Source organism: Homo sapiens, chromosome 2, assembly GCF_000001405.40.
Source record: "Homo sapiens chromosome 2, GRCh38.p14 Primary Assembly".
Classification (NCBI taxonomy): domain Eukaryota; kingdom Metazoa; phylum Chordata; class Mammalia; order Primates; family Hominidae; genus Homo; species Homo sapiens.
The window spans coordinates 100418001-100436186 of NC_000002.12; the positions used below are offsets into that span (position 1 = coordinate 100418001).

At 41.3% G+C, this 18186-nt stretch overlaps 1 pseudogene; it reads left to right on the top strand.

The window, feature by feature from the left end:
* RALBP1P2 (RALBP1 pseudogene 2) lies at positions 6542–8861 on the top strand (annotated as a pseudogene).
* Positions 8862–18186: the final 9325 nt, after the last annotated feature.

An 18186-nucleotide genomic window follows, 5' to 3' on the forward strand; every position in this document is an offset into this window, starting at 1 on the left:
CTTGGAAAAAGGCCACTTGCTTGCGTTAAGGGTAACTTCTAGCATTTTCTAATAAGCCTACTTAGTAAAAGGGGGACGTTCTATTCTTTAAAGAACCCCCTTGGCTGTCCGGGTTGGGGATGTAACTGTTGTCTAGGTACAGTGGATTAACGAAGGACAATGATAACGGCCTGACCAGTTTACAGACCTGAAGAATTGTAACTTCTTAACCTGCAGAAATGGATAAGGCCTGAGTCAACCTCAAAGGTATTGGGATTTTATTGCCCCAAAGAAGATAAACTAGTTTTATTTTTATACAACCTACATGTTTGTTAACTACCCGACTATATCTGTGTCTATTTAGCAAACAAGTAAAATAGATACGTGTATGTATACACACACACACACACACACACACAATTTTTCAAAGCTTTCAAGGAACAAGCGTTTTTGTTTTTGTTTTTTTTCTTTTTTATTGGTTCCCTCCTTAATGAGTTAATAATATTGAGGGAGCTGGCTGTTTGAGTATTTCACTTCTAGCCCCATTACTAATCATGGTTTAAAGGTTCTGTCCCTCATGCAGAAGACGTTTACTGAGCCCTTTTTTGGGGCCCTGTGGTTGAGATGAGACATTGGGTTTCCCTTTGAGGATTTGAATCGATACACGTGCACGGCAGAAAAGAAGTAAGTAAATGTGAAGCTTGGATGTGATGCAGCATATTATGCAGGATTTAAGGATCAAGGCTCTGGGAATCAGACCACGTGGATTCAGAGCCTTAGTCACTGCATATGACTGTTGACCTTGTCACACTCTCATCTCTCTGTGTCCCAGTCTTCTCATCTACAGAATGTGGTACTAGGCCGGGCGTGGTGGCTCACGCCTGTAATCCCAACATTTTGAGAGGCGGAGGTAGGTGGATCACCTGAGGTCGGGAGTTCGAGACCAGCATGACCAACATGGAGAAACCCTGTCTCTAATAAAACTACAAAAAAAATTAGCCAGGAGTGGGGGCACGTGCCTGTAATCCCAGCTGCTCGGGAGACTGAGGCAGGAGAATTGCTTGAACCCAGGAGGCGGAGGTTGCGGTGAGTCGAGATCTCGCCACTGCACTCCAGCCTGGGCAACAAGAGTGAAACTCCTTCAAAAAAAAAAAAAAAAGTGTGGTACTAAAGAATATTGTAGAGGATGCATTTAAAATACAAAGCACAGTCATCCCGCAGTAGTAAACACTGCAACAAACACACACTATTGTCACTGTTATTACTGCATTCCCAAGATACTGTTCAAAACTTTAAAAGATGGAGTTTGTTCTAGAGGCTTACACATTGACAACTAAGGTAACTGAGGTTTTTTGGTTTTTTTTGTTGGAGTTTTTCAAAATAGTTCCTCTTTTTTTCCTATAAATGAATGTCTAGGAAAATATTAGTATTTAGTCTTTTTTTTTTTTTTGAGACGGAATCTCGCTCTGTCGCCCAGGTTGGAGTGCAGTGGTGCCATCCCAGCTCACTGCAACCTCTGCCTCCTGGGTTCAAGTGATTCTCCTGTCTCAGTCTCTCAAGTAGCTGGAATTACAGGTGCGTGCCACCACACCCGGCTAATTTTTGTATTTTTAGTAGAGACGGGGTTTCACCATGTTAGCCAGGCTGGTCTCAAACTCCTGACCTCAAGTTATCCACCCGCCTCAGCCTCCCAAAGTGCTGGGATTACACGTGTGAGCCAAATATTTAGTCTTTGTAGCAGGAGGATTGTTTCTAAAATAGCAGTTCGCAAAGAGTGATCTCCAAAAAGTGGATCTTTAGGAGTCTCCAAGATCCTTTCAGAGGATCTGCAATGACAAAACTGTTTTCATAGTTGAACTGGGACATTATTTGTCCTCTTTACAATGTAGACATTTGCTCTGATTGTGCAAAAGTAAGCACAAATCCCAGCAGTGGGACAACACCAAATCAGTAGTAACTGCATCCTTCACCACCATGCACTTGCAGTAAAAACAAACACAAAGTGTCACTGAAGAATGTCCCCCGTGAAGCAGTCATGTCCCTCATGACAGGGTGGGAAATGCACAGAAACAATCCTGCTGCATCCCAAGGATGATGGTTGCTGAAGGCCGTGCCATTGTGCAATGGCCTGCAATGCACAAGCTGCAGCTCTTTTTTATGGAACGCCAGTTTTACTTGAAAGCAGAACTGACAGACAAACTGCAGTTACCCAGATTTGGGCATTTGGCAGACATTTCCTCCAAAATGAATGACATGGGCCTGTCACTTCAAGAAAAACAAATGATAGTGTTTGTTGTCTGTGATAACATTCAAGCTTTCAAGTGAAAAATCAGACTTTTGCAAAACCTGTATCCATCACTGTAAGTTTGACAGCTTCCCAATATTTAAAGATTTTTCTGATGAGATCAGAAGTAGTACTAACAACTAGTTGTAAAAAAATATTGTATAGTGATCAACCAGTTGTAGTGTAATAAGAAATATGTATTTGGCCTTTGACCCTGGTTCCTGACTGATACAGTTTGGCTGTGTCCCCACCTAAATCTCAGTTGTAGTTTCTGTCATCCCCACGTGTCATGGGAGGGACCCTGTGGGAGGTAATTGGATCCTGGGGGCAGTTACCCCCATGCTGCTGTTCTCCTGATAGTGAGTGAGTTCTCATAAGATCTGATAGTTTTATAAAGGGCTTCCCCCTTCACTCAGCACTCATTCTCTCTACTGCCGCCCTGTGAAGAGGTGCCTTCCACAATGATTGTAAGTTTCCTGAGGCCTCCCCAGCCATGTAGAACTGTGAGTCAATTAAACCTCTTTTCTTTATGAATTACCCAGTCTTGGGCATTTTTTCATAGCAGTGTGAGAATGGACTAATACACTGACATAAAGCACTTAAATCCCTTGGAGTTTCCTGGGTGATAGGAGTATCTTTTGTTCTAATGAAGCAACTCTTGCTGGGCCCCTAAATATTTTCAGATGGAGACTGGTCACTGGAAAAACCAGGCCTCGTATGGAAGCCTCCAATTTTTTGCCCTATACCCAGTCCTCTGGAGAGATGAGAGGGGCTGGAGATTAAGTTAATAATGGATCATGTCTGCATGATAAAGCCTCCATGGAAACCTCTAGACCACAGAGTTCAGAGAGTTTCCAGGTTGGTGAACACATTCAGGTCCTGGGAGAGTGGTGTGCCCAGTGAGAGCAGGGAAGCTCTGCACCCTTTCCACTTACCTTGCCCCATGCATCTCTGCCATCTGACTGTTCCTGAGTTGTATCCTTTATAACAGGACATAAACTGGACATAGTAGGACATAAACTGTCTTCCCAAATTCTGTGAGCTATTCTATCAGATCACCAAACAGGAGGGAGGGAGTCATGGAACCCCTGATTTATAGCCAAGCTGGAAAGAAGTGGGATAATCTGGGGACCCAATTCTTGCAACTGGCATCTGAAGTGAGGGAAGTCTTGTGAGACTGAGCCCTGAACCTGTGGAGTCTGACTGTAACTCCAGGTAGTTAGTGTCAGGATTAAGTTGAATTGTAGGACAGCCAACTGGTGTGTGGAGAATCAGATAAATGGTTGTTGGTGTTGGAAAACATGCCAAAGTGATGAGTTTTAATGTCACCAAATATAAAATATTTATTGATAGGGTTTTGGATTCCACATTGTACTAACCTTTAGACGGCTACCACTTGTTGGGTTTAGGTGTGGAAACTCAAAATACCCCCAAATTATCTGAAAAGATTTAAATATTTCTTCCTTTTTCTACTTATCTGTGTGAGGAAGGAGTTTCTTCATATTCTTTGACCAATATATTGCAACAGATTGAGTGCGAAGAGAAGTATATGATTCCAGCTGTCTTCTATTAAGCCAGACATTAAAGAGATTTGCAAAAGGGTAAACAATGCCATATTTTTGTTTTGAAAAACATAGCTGTTTTTCCTTAAAGTATGCTATTTAAAGTAACATATAATGGGAATATTCATTTTCTAAAATGGATTACTAAAGGTTTTTAATTTCTCATGTTATAAGTATAGATGGATATCATCCAGATTAACAAAAGCTCTTTGGGTTCCTTGATAATTTTTAAGAGTGTAAATGGGTTCTCAGGAAAAAATGATTGAGAACTTCTGTTCTCAAAGAAACCCAAATTCTTAATAGTAAAAGGAAAATATACCAGGTTCTTTAACAACCCGCTACTCCCACCCCACCCACTATGAAGTGAATATTTCTGTTTTGAACCAAACCAAGGCCCTTCCTGAAAGTGGAATAATAGAACAGATGCATCTAGAAAAACCAATATATCTCTTACAGGGATGGGGTCATGTGGAGAACCATCTCCTACACAGGTAGGGATTTGCCAGTTCCCCTCAGCATTCTAAGACAATTTGATAAATTTCTCCCCTATTCTTCATTTTGGGTTCAACCTGTATGAACTCAGGGTCCTTTAGTGCTAGGTGCTAGAATCTGACTTTGTTTTCCCTCCGGCCTCTTCCCCAGCTCCTAGCTGTGCTACAGAGAAGCTCCTGCAGTTTCCATGTCAGCCACAGGAGGGGACAATTCCTAGAATCCTGGCCCTCCTAGTCCTGAACTCTCCTCTCAGTATACACAGTGGCTACCAGTCACTCAGGCTTTCTTGGGGTTCCTTTAAGAAGTGGGTTTGGAAATGACTTCTTGGCCACTCTTGGCAGTAAATGTAATAGAAAATTGCAGAGAGTACATATCTCGGTTCCTTTCTCTGAGCACACTGAAAATTTCCATTTGGCTCACTTGGTGGGTATATGAGAAGCTTACCAGAGTTGAAATGAGACTCTGTCCAGGGTAAAGTTGTAGAACTGTAGGGACCGCAGCCAGGCATCTCTGTGTTGTACCATAACTGAGAAATGTTCAGCCAGAGGGCCCTTTTCAGTAGACGTAGAGTTGGAGGCAGGGATTACAAACCTACAGAAGTTGATTTCCCTTTCCTATTTATAGATGGCAATGCAGTTCAAAGACTTTTTGTTTTTAAGTAGGAGATGGCTGAATGAAACAAGCTGGATTCCATACTCTAGCCCTTGGAAACCTTTGGTGTGTTTATTACAGTCTTAATGGGGAGCTGTTTTGCCTTGTTAAGAACTTCTAAATTATCCAAAACATAATAGGGCTGCACATTTGAAAAAATTAGACAAGAGGAATTATTTCATATTTTAAGCCCAAGAGACATCTTCAATACCTACGTTTAATTTTTATTTTCACTAGAGATGATGTTTTGCTATGCTGCCTGGGCTGACCTTGAACTCCTGGCCTCCAACCATCCTCCTGCCTCGGCCTCCCAAAGTGCTGAGATTACAGGAGTGAGCCACCATGCCCTGCCAAGCCCTACATTTTGAATTCCTGAAAATATATTTTAACACTTACCAAAATAAGAAAATTTTAAAAAGTGCTGAATTCTTGAGGTGAGATCACAGACACCTCCCACTGTCAAGTTAGACTACATTCCCAGTGGAATTGGCTAAGGATACAAAATTATGCTGTAAGTAAGGTGACTCCACAGAGTTTGTTTGGGCTGCATGACTGGGTTCTGGCCAGTGAGATGTGCATAGATGTGATCTAAGCCACCCCTAGGGCTCACCCTTAAGAACATACCTATGATCCTGAAGTTTTCTTCCTCTGATATGTGCCATGTGTTCTAGAAGGTGGACGCACAAGATGAAAGCAGCTGTGATCCCTACATCACCATCTGGAGGAAAGTTGCATTATCCTCATGGAATGTGATGAGCAAGTAGTTGATACCTATTGTTTTAAGCCAAGGATAATTCAGGACATATGATTTACACAGCACAGCCTGCCCTAATACAGGATACCAGTTCAGTGATGAAAACACTGGACAGAAAGTCAGGAGGCTTGTGTTCTATGATGTTGAACTATAAGAATTTGTTGGTTTTTAACAGTTTTTGATGTTCAAGTGGCAGTTTCACATGATTCACCCCAGGAATTCATGTGACCCCTGGCCAGCTTGGTATGTGACATTGAATTAATCCATTACTCCCATCTGGATCTCATTTTTCTCATCTATAAAAATCAGATCTAATAAACATCTATAGAACACTCCACCCAGTAACAGTAGGATATACATTCTTCTCAAGGACACATAGAACATTTATCCTCATATATATGCTATAGGCTAATCTGTAAAATAAGCCCCAGTACATTTTTTAAAATTAAAATCATACAAAGTATGTTCTTTAACCACAACAGAATTAAACTTGTTAATAATTTGACAACAGCAGGAAATCTAGGAAATTTACAAATAATGTGGAAATCAAATAATGTACTTAAATAACCAATGGGTCAAATAAATCACAAGTAAAATTAGACGTACTAGTTCGTTTTCATGCTGCTGATAGAGACATACCAGAGACTGGGCAATTTACAAAAGAAAGAGGTTTAGTGGACTTACAGTTCCACATGGCTGGGGAGGCCTCACAATCAAGGTGGAAGGCAAGGAGGAGCAAGTCACGTCATCAATGGATGGCAGCAGGCAAAGAGAGAAAATTATGCAGGGGAACTCCTCTTTATAAAACCATCAGATAGTCAGGAGGTGGCTCCAGTGGCTGTGGTGGCAGCATGAGTGCCAGGAGGTGGTGGCTGCAGTGGGACAGGTGGTTGCACAGTGGCGGGCACAGGTGTAATGGATAGGTAACAGAGAAGACCTCATCCCTTCCTAGTCAGGGCATCAGCATGACAAAGTGCTTCCTGCCCCCCACCAGCAGCCCCAGTGAACACCACAGGGTGGAGCATGGCAGTGGGCTTACCCAGACCCCCAGCTCTGAAGAGATCAGCCCTACTAAATTTCCTGGATTGTACCACACTGGTGAGCCCTCACCTCCCCATGACATCCTCCACAAGCCTCCTGATATAGTGTCTGATGATGAGAAAGACCATGGGAAGAAAAAAGGAAATTTTAAGAAAAAGGAAAAGAGGACCGAAGGCTATGCAGCCTTTCAGGAAGATAGCTCTGGAGATGAGGCAGAAAGTCCTTCTAAAATGAGGAGACCCAAGGGAATCCATGTGTTCAAGAATCCCAGCTTTTCTAAAAAGAAGGAGAAGGATTTTAAAATAAAAGAAACCCAAAGAAGAAAAGCATAAAGAAGAAAAGCACAAAGAAGAAAAAAAGAGAAGAAGTAAAAAAAAAAAAAAAAAAAAAAGAAGTCAAAAGACTTGACAGCAGCTGATGTAGTTAAAACAGTGGAAGGAAAAGAAGTAAAAGAAAAAGCCATTTCAGGAGCCAGAGGTGCCTGAGATTGATGTTCCAAGTCTCAAACCCATTTTTGGAATTCCTTTGGCTGGTGCAGTAGAGAGAACCATGATATATGATGGCATTTGGCTGCTGGCCGTTTTCCGTGAATTACGTAGAGAAGTATGGCATGAAGTGTGAAGGCATCTACAGAGTATCAGGAATTAAATCAAAGATGGATGAGCTAAAAGCAGCCTATGACCAGGAGAAGTCTACAAACTTGGAAGAATATGACCCTAACACTGTAGCCAGTTTGCGGAAGCAGTATTTGTGAGATCTTCCGGAGAATTTGCTTACCAAAGAGCTTATGCCTAGATTTGAAGAGGCTTATGGGAGGACCACAGAGACTGAGAAAGTGCAGGAATTCCAGCGTTTACTCAAAGAACTGCCAGAAGGTAACTATCTTCTGATTTCTTTGTTCGTTGTGCACATGGACCATGTCATCACAAAGGAACTGGAAGCAAAAATGAATATACAGAACATTTATATAGTGGTCAGCCCAACTGTGCAGATCAGCAATCTAGTCCTGTATGTGTTCTTCACACATGTGCAAGAACTCTTTGGAAATGTGGTTCTAAAGCAAGTGACGAAAACTCGGCGATGGTCTAACGTGGCCACGATGCCCACGCTGCCAGAGACCCAGGCAGGCTTCAAGGAGGAGATCAGGATACAGGAGTTGCTTTTGAATTGTTTACATCAAGATCTGCAGGGTGGGATAAAGGATTTGTCTGAAGAAGAAAGATTATGGGAAGTACAAAGAATTTTGACAGCTCTCAGAAGAAAACTGAGAGAAGCTAAAAGACAGGGGTGTGAAACCAAGATTGCACAAGAGATAGCCAGTCTTTCAAAAGAGGCTGTTTCCAAAAAAAAAGATGAATGAAAATGAAGAAGTTATAAATATTCTCCTTGTTCAGGAGAAAGAGATCCTGACTAAACAGGAGGAGCTCCTGGGCATGGAGCAGTTTCTGCGCCGGCAGATTGCCTCAGAAAAAGAAGAGATTGAGTGCCTCAGAGCCGAGACTGCGGAAATTCAGAGTCACCAGCAGCAGGGCCTAAGCGAGACTGAGGAGTACTCCTCCGAGAGCGAGAGTGAGGATGAGGAGGAGCTGCAGATCATTCTGGAAGATTTACAGAGACAGAACGAAGAGCTGGAAATAAAGAACAACCATTTGAATCAAGCAATTCACGAGGAGAGTGAGGCCGTCATCGAGCCGCGCATGCAGCCCTGGCTGCTCCAGTTGCAGCCAGACAGGGCCAAGCAGCAGGCGCAGGAGGACGAGGAGCCCGAGTGGCGCGGAGGTGCCATCCAGACGCCCAAGAATGGCATCCTCGAGCCAGTAGCAGCTAAATAGCCACCAAAGGCAGGCAAGAAGCCGGCAAAGCCATTGCCCAGCAGGCACAGGAAGGAGACGTCCATCTGAGCAGCCTCCGTGGCCATCCGGAGTCCGTGAGACTGAAAGGACTCATGCATCTTACTGTAACCCGGGGGCCAGGCTGGCTCTCTCGCTGTACATTCTGTAAAGGTGTCTTCTCTTCTCAGACTCTTCCTCGGTCACACGTCTGACTCCTTCGCGTCAGGCTTAGGTTCTATGGGAGGACGAAGCAGGGGATGCATTGTGGGCTTTAGGGACAGATGAGTTTTCCAGGTAGTGTCAGCATATTTGAAGATTTTAATTTTCTTCCTTAACTTGAAATAACTATTTTAACCCTTGAGTGGCTTCTTTTTAAACCACAAATCGTCTTTCTTTGCTTTTTTATCACAGCAGAATCAGGATCATTCAAGTGGGGAACCACACCAGGTCAGTGCTGCGCCCTCCGTGATCTCTGGTACCTTCACTCTTGCTTGTGCCTTCAACACCTTGGTGCAGATCCCTATGGGGGAACTACCTCAGGTTCTCTGAGTGGTCAGAGCAGTGCATGGTGGGTGTTCCCTGGTCCACCCTCCTAACTCTCTCCTTCTGCAGTTCTAAACCACAGTCCATAAGCCAGAGTCACCAGGACGGCCTATCTGGCCGCAGACGGGCTGCCTGCGGAGCCAGCCCATCCACCCCGGGCAGCGCAGGCCAGCCGAGAGGCCGCCCGTTCCCGCCGGTTTCTTACTGTGGGGACCAGCAAAGGCCTTCTCACTGGGTTGATCAAAGATAGTCTCCTTGGCCTGGTGCATCCACAGAGGATGTTGCTCAAACCAGAAATCTTTTAAATGACTGACCTTTCTTAAAAACAGAATGACTCTGCTTGCTTGGGCTAGAATGTACACGTCTTCTTGCCTGAATAAGCCATATATATGCTCTTAAACAAAAGTTTGATACTATCCATATCGTCTCAGTGAACCTACTAGTGGACTCCCAATTGACAAGATCGAGCAATAAAAAAATTCCTTTCCTTTGAATGATAGTTGTGATTCACCCCGTCCCATTTTCTTGTTTCTGGTCCATCTGCTGAAATGGATGCTCTGATGCTCTGAAGCTTCTGGGAGGCCGGGCTCTGGAGGCAACGTGCTGCAGGCGCACTCTGTCAGAGTGAACAGCACCCGCGAGACAGGCCAGGCTCCTGGCTCAGAAGACAAACCCCACACCCACTCAAGGAAATGAAAACAAACCCCACACGAGGGCGCTCTCCTCCTCCTCCTAGGTAGTATTTATTTTCAGCACCTCTTTGATGCAGTTTTTAATCCTCTACCTATTGCACTGTTGTGACTCGTTGGCCATTATTTGATTTTTGTACGAAAAAAAAGCTTTGTTATAGAAATCAGCATACTATTTTTTAAATCTGGAGAGAAGATATTCTGGTGACTGAAAGTATGGTCAGGTGTCAGATATAAATGTGCAAATACCTTCTTGCTGTCCTGTCAGTCTCAGTACATTCACTTTATACCTGCTGGCAATATTGAAGGTTCCTTTTTTGTTTGTGTAAACTCTAATTTCTATCAAGGTGTCATGGATTTTTAAAATTAGTATTTCATTACGAATGTCTCAGCATTGCTTAACTCATTTTTGCCAGAACCATTATTGATCAAGCAAATAAATTCAGCCATTTGGGAAAAAGAAAAAAAAAACCCATCAGATCTCGTGAGATTTATTCACTATCACGAGAACAGCACGGGAAAGACTTGCCCCCATGATTCAATTAACTCCCACTGGGTCCCTCCCACAACAAGTGGGAATTTAAGATGAGATTTGAGTGGGGACACAGCCAAGCCATGTCATTAGAAAATACTTTCAGATGAATGAAAATGAAAGTACCACATACCAAAACTTATTGGGATGCACTGAAAGCAATGTTCAGAAATTTATAGCTGTCAATGTCAACTTTTAAAAAGAAAAAAATCTGAAATCCAACCTAATCTTTCACCTTAAAAAACTATAAAAAGAATAGCAAATTAAACTCAAAGCAAGATGAAGAAATAATAAAGAGTAGAAACAAATGAAGGAGAAAATAGGAAAACAATAGAGAAAATCAACTAATGAAAAGTTGGTTTTTTGAAAAGATCAACAAAATTGATACACCTTTGCCTAGACTGACCAAGAAAAAGAGGAATCAAATTACTAAAATCAAGATTGAAAAAAGGAGCATTATTACAAACCTTACAGAAACAAAAAAGGTCATAGATCAATTGTGTGCCAACAAATTAGAGGACCTAATGGAATATACAAATTCCTAGCGAAACAAACAGGTAAATTAACTCAAGATGAAATAAAAAATTTGGATCAAACCTTAAGAAGTAAGAGATTGAATTAGTAACTTAAAATTTTCCTATAGAGTAAAGACACAGCCCACTTAACTTCACTGTTAAATTCTACCAGACATTTAAAAAAGAACTAATACCAGCACCCACAAACGCTTCTAAAAAACAAGAGGATGAAATACATCCTGTATTCATCCATTTTCATGCTGCTGATAAAGACACACCTGAGACTGGGCAATATACAAAAGAAAGAGCCTTAATGGACTCACAGTTTCATGTGGCTGAGGAGGCTTCATAATCACCTCGGAAGACAAAAGGCACATCTCATATGGCGGCAGACAAGAGAAGAGAATGAGAGCCAAGCAAAAGGGGTTTCCCCTTATAAAACCATCAGATCTCATTAGCCTTGTTCACTACCACGAGAACAGTGAGGGGAAACTGCCCCTATGATTCAGTTATCTCCCACTGGGTCCCTCCCACAACATGAGGGAATTATGTAAGCTACAATTCAAGATGAGATTTGGGTGAGGACACAGCCAAACCATATCACATCCCAACCCATTCTCTGAGGTCAGTATTACCCTGATACCAATACCAGACTTATACATCACAAGAAAACAAGAAACCAATACCACTTATGACTATAGACACAAAAACTCTCCACAGAATACAAGCAAACTGAATCCAGCAACATATTAAAGAATTATATACTATAGCCAAGTGGATTGTATCCAGGAATTAAAGGTTGTGTTAATATATATCAGTAGGTCAAAGGACAAAATCATATGACTAAATAGAATCAGAAAAAGCAGTTGACAAAATTTAACTCCCTTCATGATAAATACATGCAACAAACTAGGAATAGAAGGCAACTTCCTCAAACTGATAAACGTGATCTACAAAAACCCACAAATAACATCAATGAGAAAAGACTAAAAACTTTCTCTCTGAGATCAGGAACAAGACAAGGATGTCTGTTTTCATCATGTCTATTCAAGATTCTGCTTTCATCAGTTTTTTTCAACATTTTATTGGGGCTCTAGCTATGACAGTTAGGCAAGAAAAAGAAAGCATCTGTATTGGAAAAGAAGAAGTTAAACTATCTCTATTTGCAGATGGCATAATCTTGCATGTAGAAAATCCCAAAGTCTCCACCAGAAAACTATTAGAACTAATACATGAGTTCAGGAAAATTGTAGGCTATAAGGTCAAGATATAAAACAATTGTATTTTTATAGACCAGCAAAGAATGACCTGAAAATGAAATTGGGAAAATGATTATATTGAAAATAGCATATAAGGGAATAAAATTATTAGGGATAAATTTAACAAAAAGAGGTTCAAAACATATACTCTAGAAATATTTTTGAAAGAAATTAAAGAATACCTAAATAAATGTAAATGCATCCCATGTTCATATATCAGAGGACTTAATACTGTTAAGATATACTCTCCATATTGATCTACAACTTTATTGCAATCCTCATCAAAATTCCGGCTGGCTTCTTGGTAGAAATAGCCAATCTGAAGCTAAAATTCACATGAAAATGTAAGACACTCAGAGTGGCCAAAACAATCTTCAAAAGGAAGATCAAAGTCTGAGGAATCACACTTCCTGATCTTAAAATATACTACAAAGCCACAGTAATCAAGACAGTGTGGTAACAGCATAAGAACAGATATATAAATCAGTGGAATAGAATTGAGAGTCCAGAAATAAGCCATTTATGGCCAATTGGTTTCCAACAGGAGTGCTAAGACAATAAAATAAAAAAGGAATAGCTTTTTCAATAGATGGTACTGAGACAACTGGATATCCACATGCAAAAGAATGAATTTAGATGCCTCTCTCACACTTACACAAAAATTAACTCAAAATGGACCATAGACTTAACAAGAGCTAAAACTAAAAATCTAGTAAAAACACAGGCATAAATCTTATAACCTTGGGTGAGACAGTATCTTCTTAGATATGCCACCAAAAGCACAAGCAACAAAAGAAAAAATAGATAAATTTTAAAAAATTTGTCCTTCAAAGGATACTATCAGGAAAATGAAGAGAAAATCCACAGAATTTTTTTTTTGCAAATCATATATATGTGTATTAGTCCATTTTGCATTGGTGTAAAGGAATACCTGAGACTGGATGATTTATAAAGAAAAGAGGTTTATTTTGGCTCATGGTTCTGCAGGCTGTTCAAGCGTGGGGCTGGCAAGCATGGTGCTAGCATCTGCTTCTGGTCAGAACCTCAGGAAACTTTTATTCATGGTAGAAGGTGATGGGGGAGCAGGTATGTCACACGGTGAGAAAAGGAGCAAGAGAGAGAGCGGGGAGATCCTCAATTCTTTTTAACCAGATCACACATGAACTCATAGAGTGGAAACTCACTCATTACCATGAGGGGGGCACCAAGCCATTCATGAGGGATCCACCCCCATGACACAAACATCTCACACTAGGCCCCTCCTCCCACATTGGGGATCACATTTGAACATGAGTTTTGGAGGGGACAAACATCCAAACTATAGCAATATGGTAAAGGACTAACATCTAGAATATCTACAGAATTCTTACAGTGTAATAATAAAAAGACAAATAGCCCAATTTAAATATGGGTAAAGGGTCTGCATAGACATTTTCCAAAGAAGATATACACATGGCTGATAAGCACATGTAAAGCTGCTGAACATCATTCATAAGTAGGGAAATGCAAATGAAAATCACAATGAAATACCACTCCACCCCAGCTAGGATGGCTATAATGACAAAAGACAATAACAAGTGTTGGTGAGTTGTGGAAAATGGAGCCCTTACACATTGCTGGTGAGAATGTAAAATGGTGCAGTTGCTTTGGAAAACTTTTTGGCAGGCTGGGCATGGTGGCTCACGCCTGTAATCCCAGCACTTTGGAAGGCCAAGGCAGACAGATCACCTGAGATCAGGAGTTCGAGACCAGACTGACCAACATGGTGAAACCCTGTCTCTACTAAAAGTACAAAAATTAGCCTGGTGTGGTGGCATGCTCCTGTAATTCCAGCTACCCGGGAGGCTGAGAAGGGAGAATCACTTGAACCAGCAGGTGGCGGTTGCAGTGAGCCAAGATCACGCCACTGCACTCCAGCCTGGGCGACAGAGCAAGACTCCGTTTCAAAAAAAAAAAATACTTTTTGGCGGTTTTTAAAAATGTTAAATGTAGAGTTACCATATAACCCAGCAATTTCACTCCTAGGTATATACCCAAGAGAAATGAAAACATATGTCTATGCAAAACTTGTACGTTAATGTTCAAGACATTGTTATTTTTAATAGCCACAGCAGAAAAATCACACATTTCCATCAAGTGGTGAATGAACTTTTATTTTATTTTTATTTTTTTGAGACAGGGTTTCACTCCTGTCACTCAGGCTGGAATGCATGGTGCTATCTTGGCTAACTGCGGCCTCTGCCTCCTGGGTTCAAGCAATTCTCCTGCCTCAGCCTCCCGAGTATCTGGGACTACAGGTGTGCACCACCGTGCCTGGCTAATTTTTGTATTTTATGTAGAGACAGAGTTTCACCATGTTGGCCAGGCTAGTCTTGAACTCCTGGGCTCAAGTGATCTGCCCACCTTGGCCTCCCAAAGTGCTGGGATTACAGGCATGAGCCACCATGCCTAGCCCAGTGGTGAATGAATTTTTAAAATGTGGTACATTCATGTACTGGAACATTATTTGTCAAGAAGAGTAGATGAAGTACTGACTCATGCTGCAACATGGAGAACTTGAAAACATTATGCTAAGTCAAAGAAGGTAGTCACAGAGGACCACAGATTCTGTGACTCCACTTACATGAAATGTGCAAAAAAGGCAAATCTATAAACAGATCATAGGTTAGTGGTGATTGGGGGCTGGAAATTGAGAATGACTACTAATAGGTACAGAGTTTCTTCGGGGGGTGATGAAAATTCCGAAATGAGACTGTGATTGTTGCACAACTTTGCGAACATCCTAGAAACCTTGGAACTACACACTTTAAATGGGTGAGTTTTGTGATATGTGAAATTATATTTCAATAAAGGTGTTATCTAAAAATGTGGATGTGAGCTAGATGTGGTGGCTCACGCCGTAATCCCAGCACTTTGGGAGGCCAAGGTGGGCGGATCACAAGGTCAGGCGTTCAAGACCAGCCTGGCCAATGTAGTGAAACCCTGAACCTACTAAAAAAAAAATACAAAACTTAGCCGGGCATGGTGGCGTGTGCTTGTAATACCAGCTACTTGGGAGGCTGAGGCAGGAGAATTGCTTGAACCCAGGAGGTGGAGGTTGCAATGAGCTGAGATAATGCCACTGTACTCTAGCCTGGGTGACAGGGTGAGAATCCTTCTCAGATAGATAGATAGATAGATAGATAGATAGATAGATAGATAGATAGATAGATAGATAAAATGTGGGTGTGTGGTGATTTAAAAAATACCCTGACTGTGATGGTTCATTGTATATGTCAAGTTGACTGGGCTAAGAGATGCCCACATAGTGATGAAATTATTTCTGGGTGTACCTGTGAGGACATTTCTGAAATAGATTAGCATTAGCATCAGTAGACTGAGGAAAGAACATCTGAGCAGCCATCACCCCATCCATTGAGGACCCAAAAGAACAAAAATGTGGAGGAAGGGTGAATTATCTCTCTCTCTCCTTCACCTGAGAATTCATCTTCCCCTGCCCTTCAACATTGGAGCCTCTGGTTCTTGAGCCTTTGAACTCAGAATAAATTGCTTTCCTGATTCTCCAGCTTGCAGAGGGCAGATGGTGGAACTTCTCAGCCTCCGTGATTGTGTGAGCCACTTCCAATAATAAATCTCTCGCTCTCTCCCCTCTGCCTCCCCAACACACTCACACATCTATGTGTACTACTATGTATATTGCATCTATTATGTGTATGTATGTAAATATATACACACACATATTACATATATATACACAGTATGGTTCTGTTTCTCTGGAGAACTCTAATACCCTCACGCATACTCCAGTTCACTTCGTTGCATGCATCAAATGAATGGAATGGTAGGTGGAAAGAAGGCTCAGCTACTGTTCATTTCATTCTGTCTTTGTTGTTGACTCTGGTAAGTCACTTAACTTCTGGGCTTACGTTTTTTAATAAGAAATCAGTCTGTTATTTTGAGTGACTGCTGGGTTCCCTTCCAGCTCTAATACCCTATTATTCGATAGAAGCTAGACCTGAATCCATGCAGTCACTTTAGGGAATATACATTTATATCTGGATCTATGTCCTGTAACAAAAGTAGCAAAATATGGAAGGAAAAATGTAGAAAAAATGAGGAGAAATAAGGAGAAAATGTAAGAAATGAGTAAGTTGATTTTTGTGTGTGGCATATAGCTAGATAATTACCCATCCAGTTGGTTGAAAATATAATCACTATTTTCTCTCCAATCATGGAAGGGTGAGACCTATTTTTATGTGTCTTATGATAAACAGAATACTAATTAAAATAAAGTTAACTATTTTCTTTTTTCATACAGGGTATGTTGCTCAGAATGCAATTGTGAGACCATCTCTTATAGTAAAGTAATGTAGTGCTAGGTTGGCACTTGAAAAATTGGTCCTATCTCTCTTCTAATATTGAGCTCACATAGCATGAAAAAATGTATCCCTCTGAGATGATCTATTAATAATAAAGCATGAATAGACTCTAAGTATAAAAAAGTAACAAACTCCTGCTGTCTCATTACTGAATATTTTAGGGTTGATAGCAGGAAAGCTCTGCGTCAATTGCAAAGTTGGAAACTCACCACGCATGTGCTTTATTTTCTTTACCATCCAAATCTCTTCCTGATATTAATTTAGCTGCAAAGGAGGTGCATTGATTCTTCTGAGCAGGGGGGAACCACTTGGAGCATGTAAAAGAAGTGCAGATCTGTGGGCCAGTGTTACTCAAGTAGGTCCAGGTGAAACTGGGAGAACCTCATTTTTAAAAGCTCCCTAAACAATTCCAGTGAGCAGCCAGGTTTGGGAACACTGACCTAATCAAGGCCCCAAACTGATGGATATAGTCAGTACTCACATGCCATTGACTATAATAAGATTCTATGTTCATTTACAAACAGTTTTTGTAGGAACAGGGCAGAGAAACACTACACTGATTGTACCAAAACTCTTTTTGCGAAGTAATCACATATACTTGCAATTGCATATTTTTTTTTCTTTCAGGACAATTTTCAAAGTTTTAGCCTAAGTCCTCTTTGTTTTTAGAATCTAAAGAGACTTCCCTGCTTCCCTGGCAATAATACACAGCATTGTGGAAGCGAGCTGCCCTCCGTAATCTGAGTGTGTGATCTTGATCCTTGAGAGTTCTCAGAACTGAATGAGTGATTCTGAAGCACATCAAAGAATACTAGCATTTTATCTGCATTTTCTATTTGGTAAAAATAGTTTTTTACACACCCTTACCTCCCCTTAATTGGACCACTCATTACTGGATGTTTAAAAGCTCTTTTTTTGGACTTGGCTGGAGGCTTTTGACAATGAGTAATCCAAAACACTGAAATAGACCATTGCAATGTATACATTGGTTACCATTGGTTATAATCACCTCTCCTAGCTTTGGGCATTCTGTGATATGAGAGGCCTGATAATTCCCCCAGCCTTTAAATTGCTTTGCTTTGTACACCCAAAGACACTGTTTCAATGCTGCATTGTAGTTGTAAGGCTTTTCTTTTTAAATGAAAATTAAGAATCCAAATTCAAGTTAAAATTCAGCCACACTCAATGCCTGTAATCCCAGCACCTTGGGAGGCCAAGGTGGGCAGATTGCCTGAGCTCAGGAGTTCAAGACCAGCCTGAGCAATATGGTGAAACCCTGTCTCTACAAAAAATACAAAGTTAGCTGAGCGTGGTGGCGCATGCCTATAGTCCTAGCTACTTGGAAGGTTGAGGTGGGAGGATTGCTGGAGCGCAGGAGGTCGAGGCTACAGTGAGCTGAGATCATGCCACAGCATTCCAGCCTGTGTGACAGAGCAAGACCCTGTCTCTTAAAAAAAAAAGAAAATCAGCCACATATGGGTCCTCCAAAGTAATTTACCTAATTGAGGTGACAATGGGATGAACACTGCCTTCATGAATGAGTTTGTGCAGGCTGTGGCAACTATATTTTCTTCTTTCTGGTGGCCAGCAAATTTCTTTGCTATCAGTCGTAAGAGGCCAACAAGGATCCAAGTGATACCCTAATTCCTAGTAAGAGTCAAGGTAAATAATATC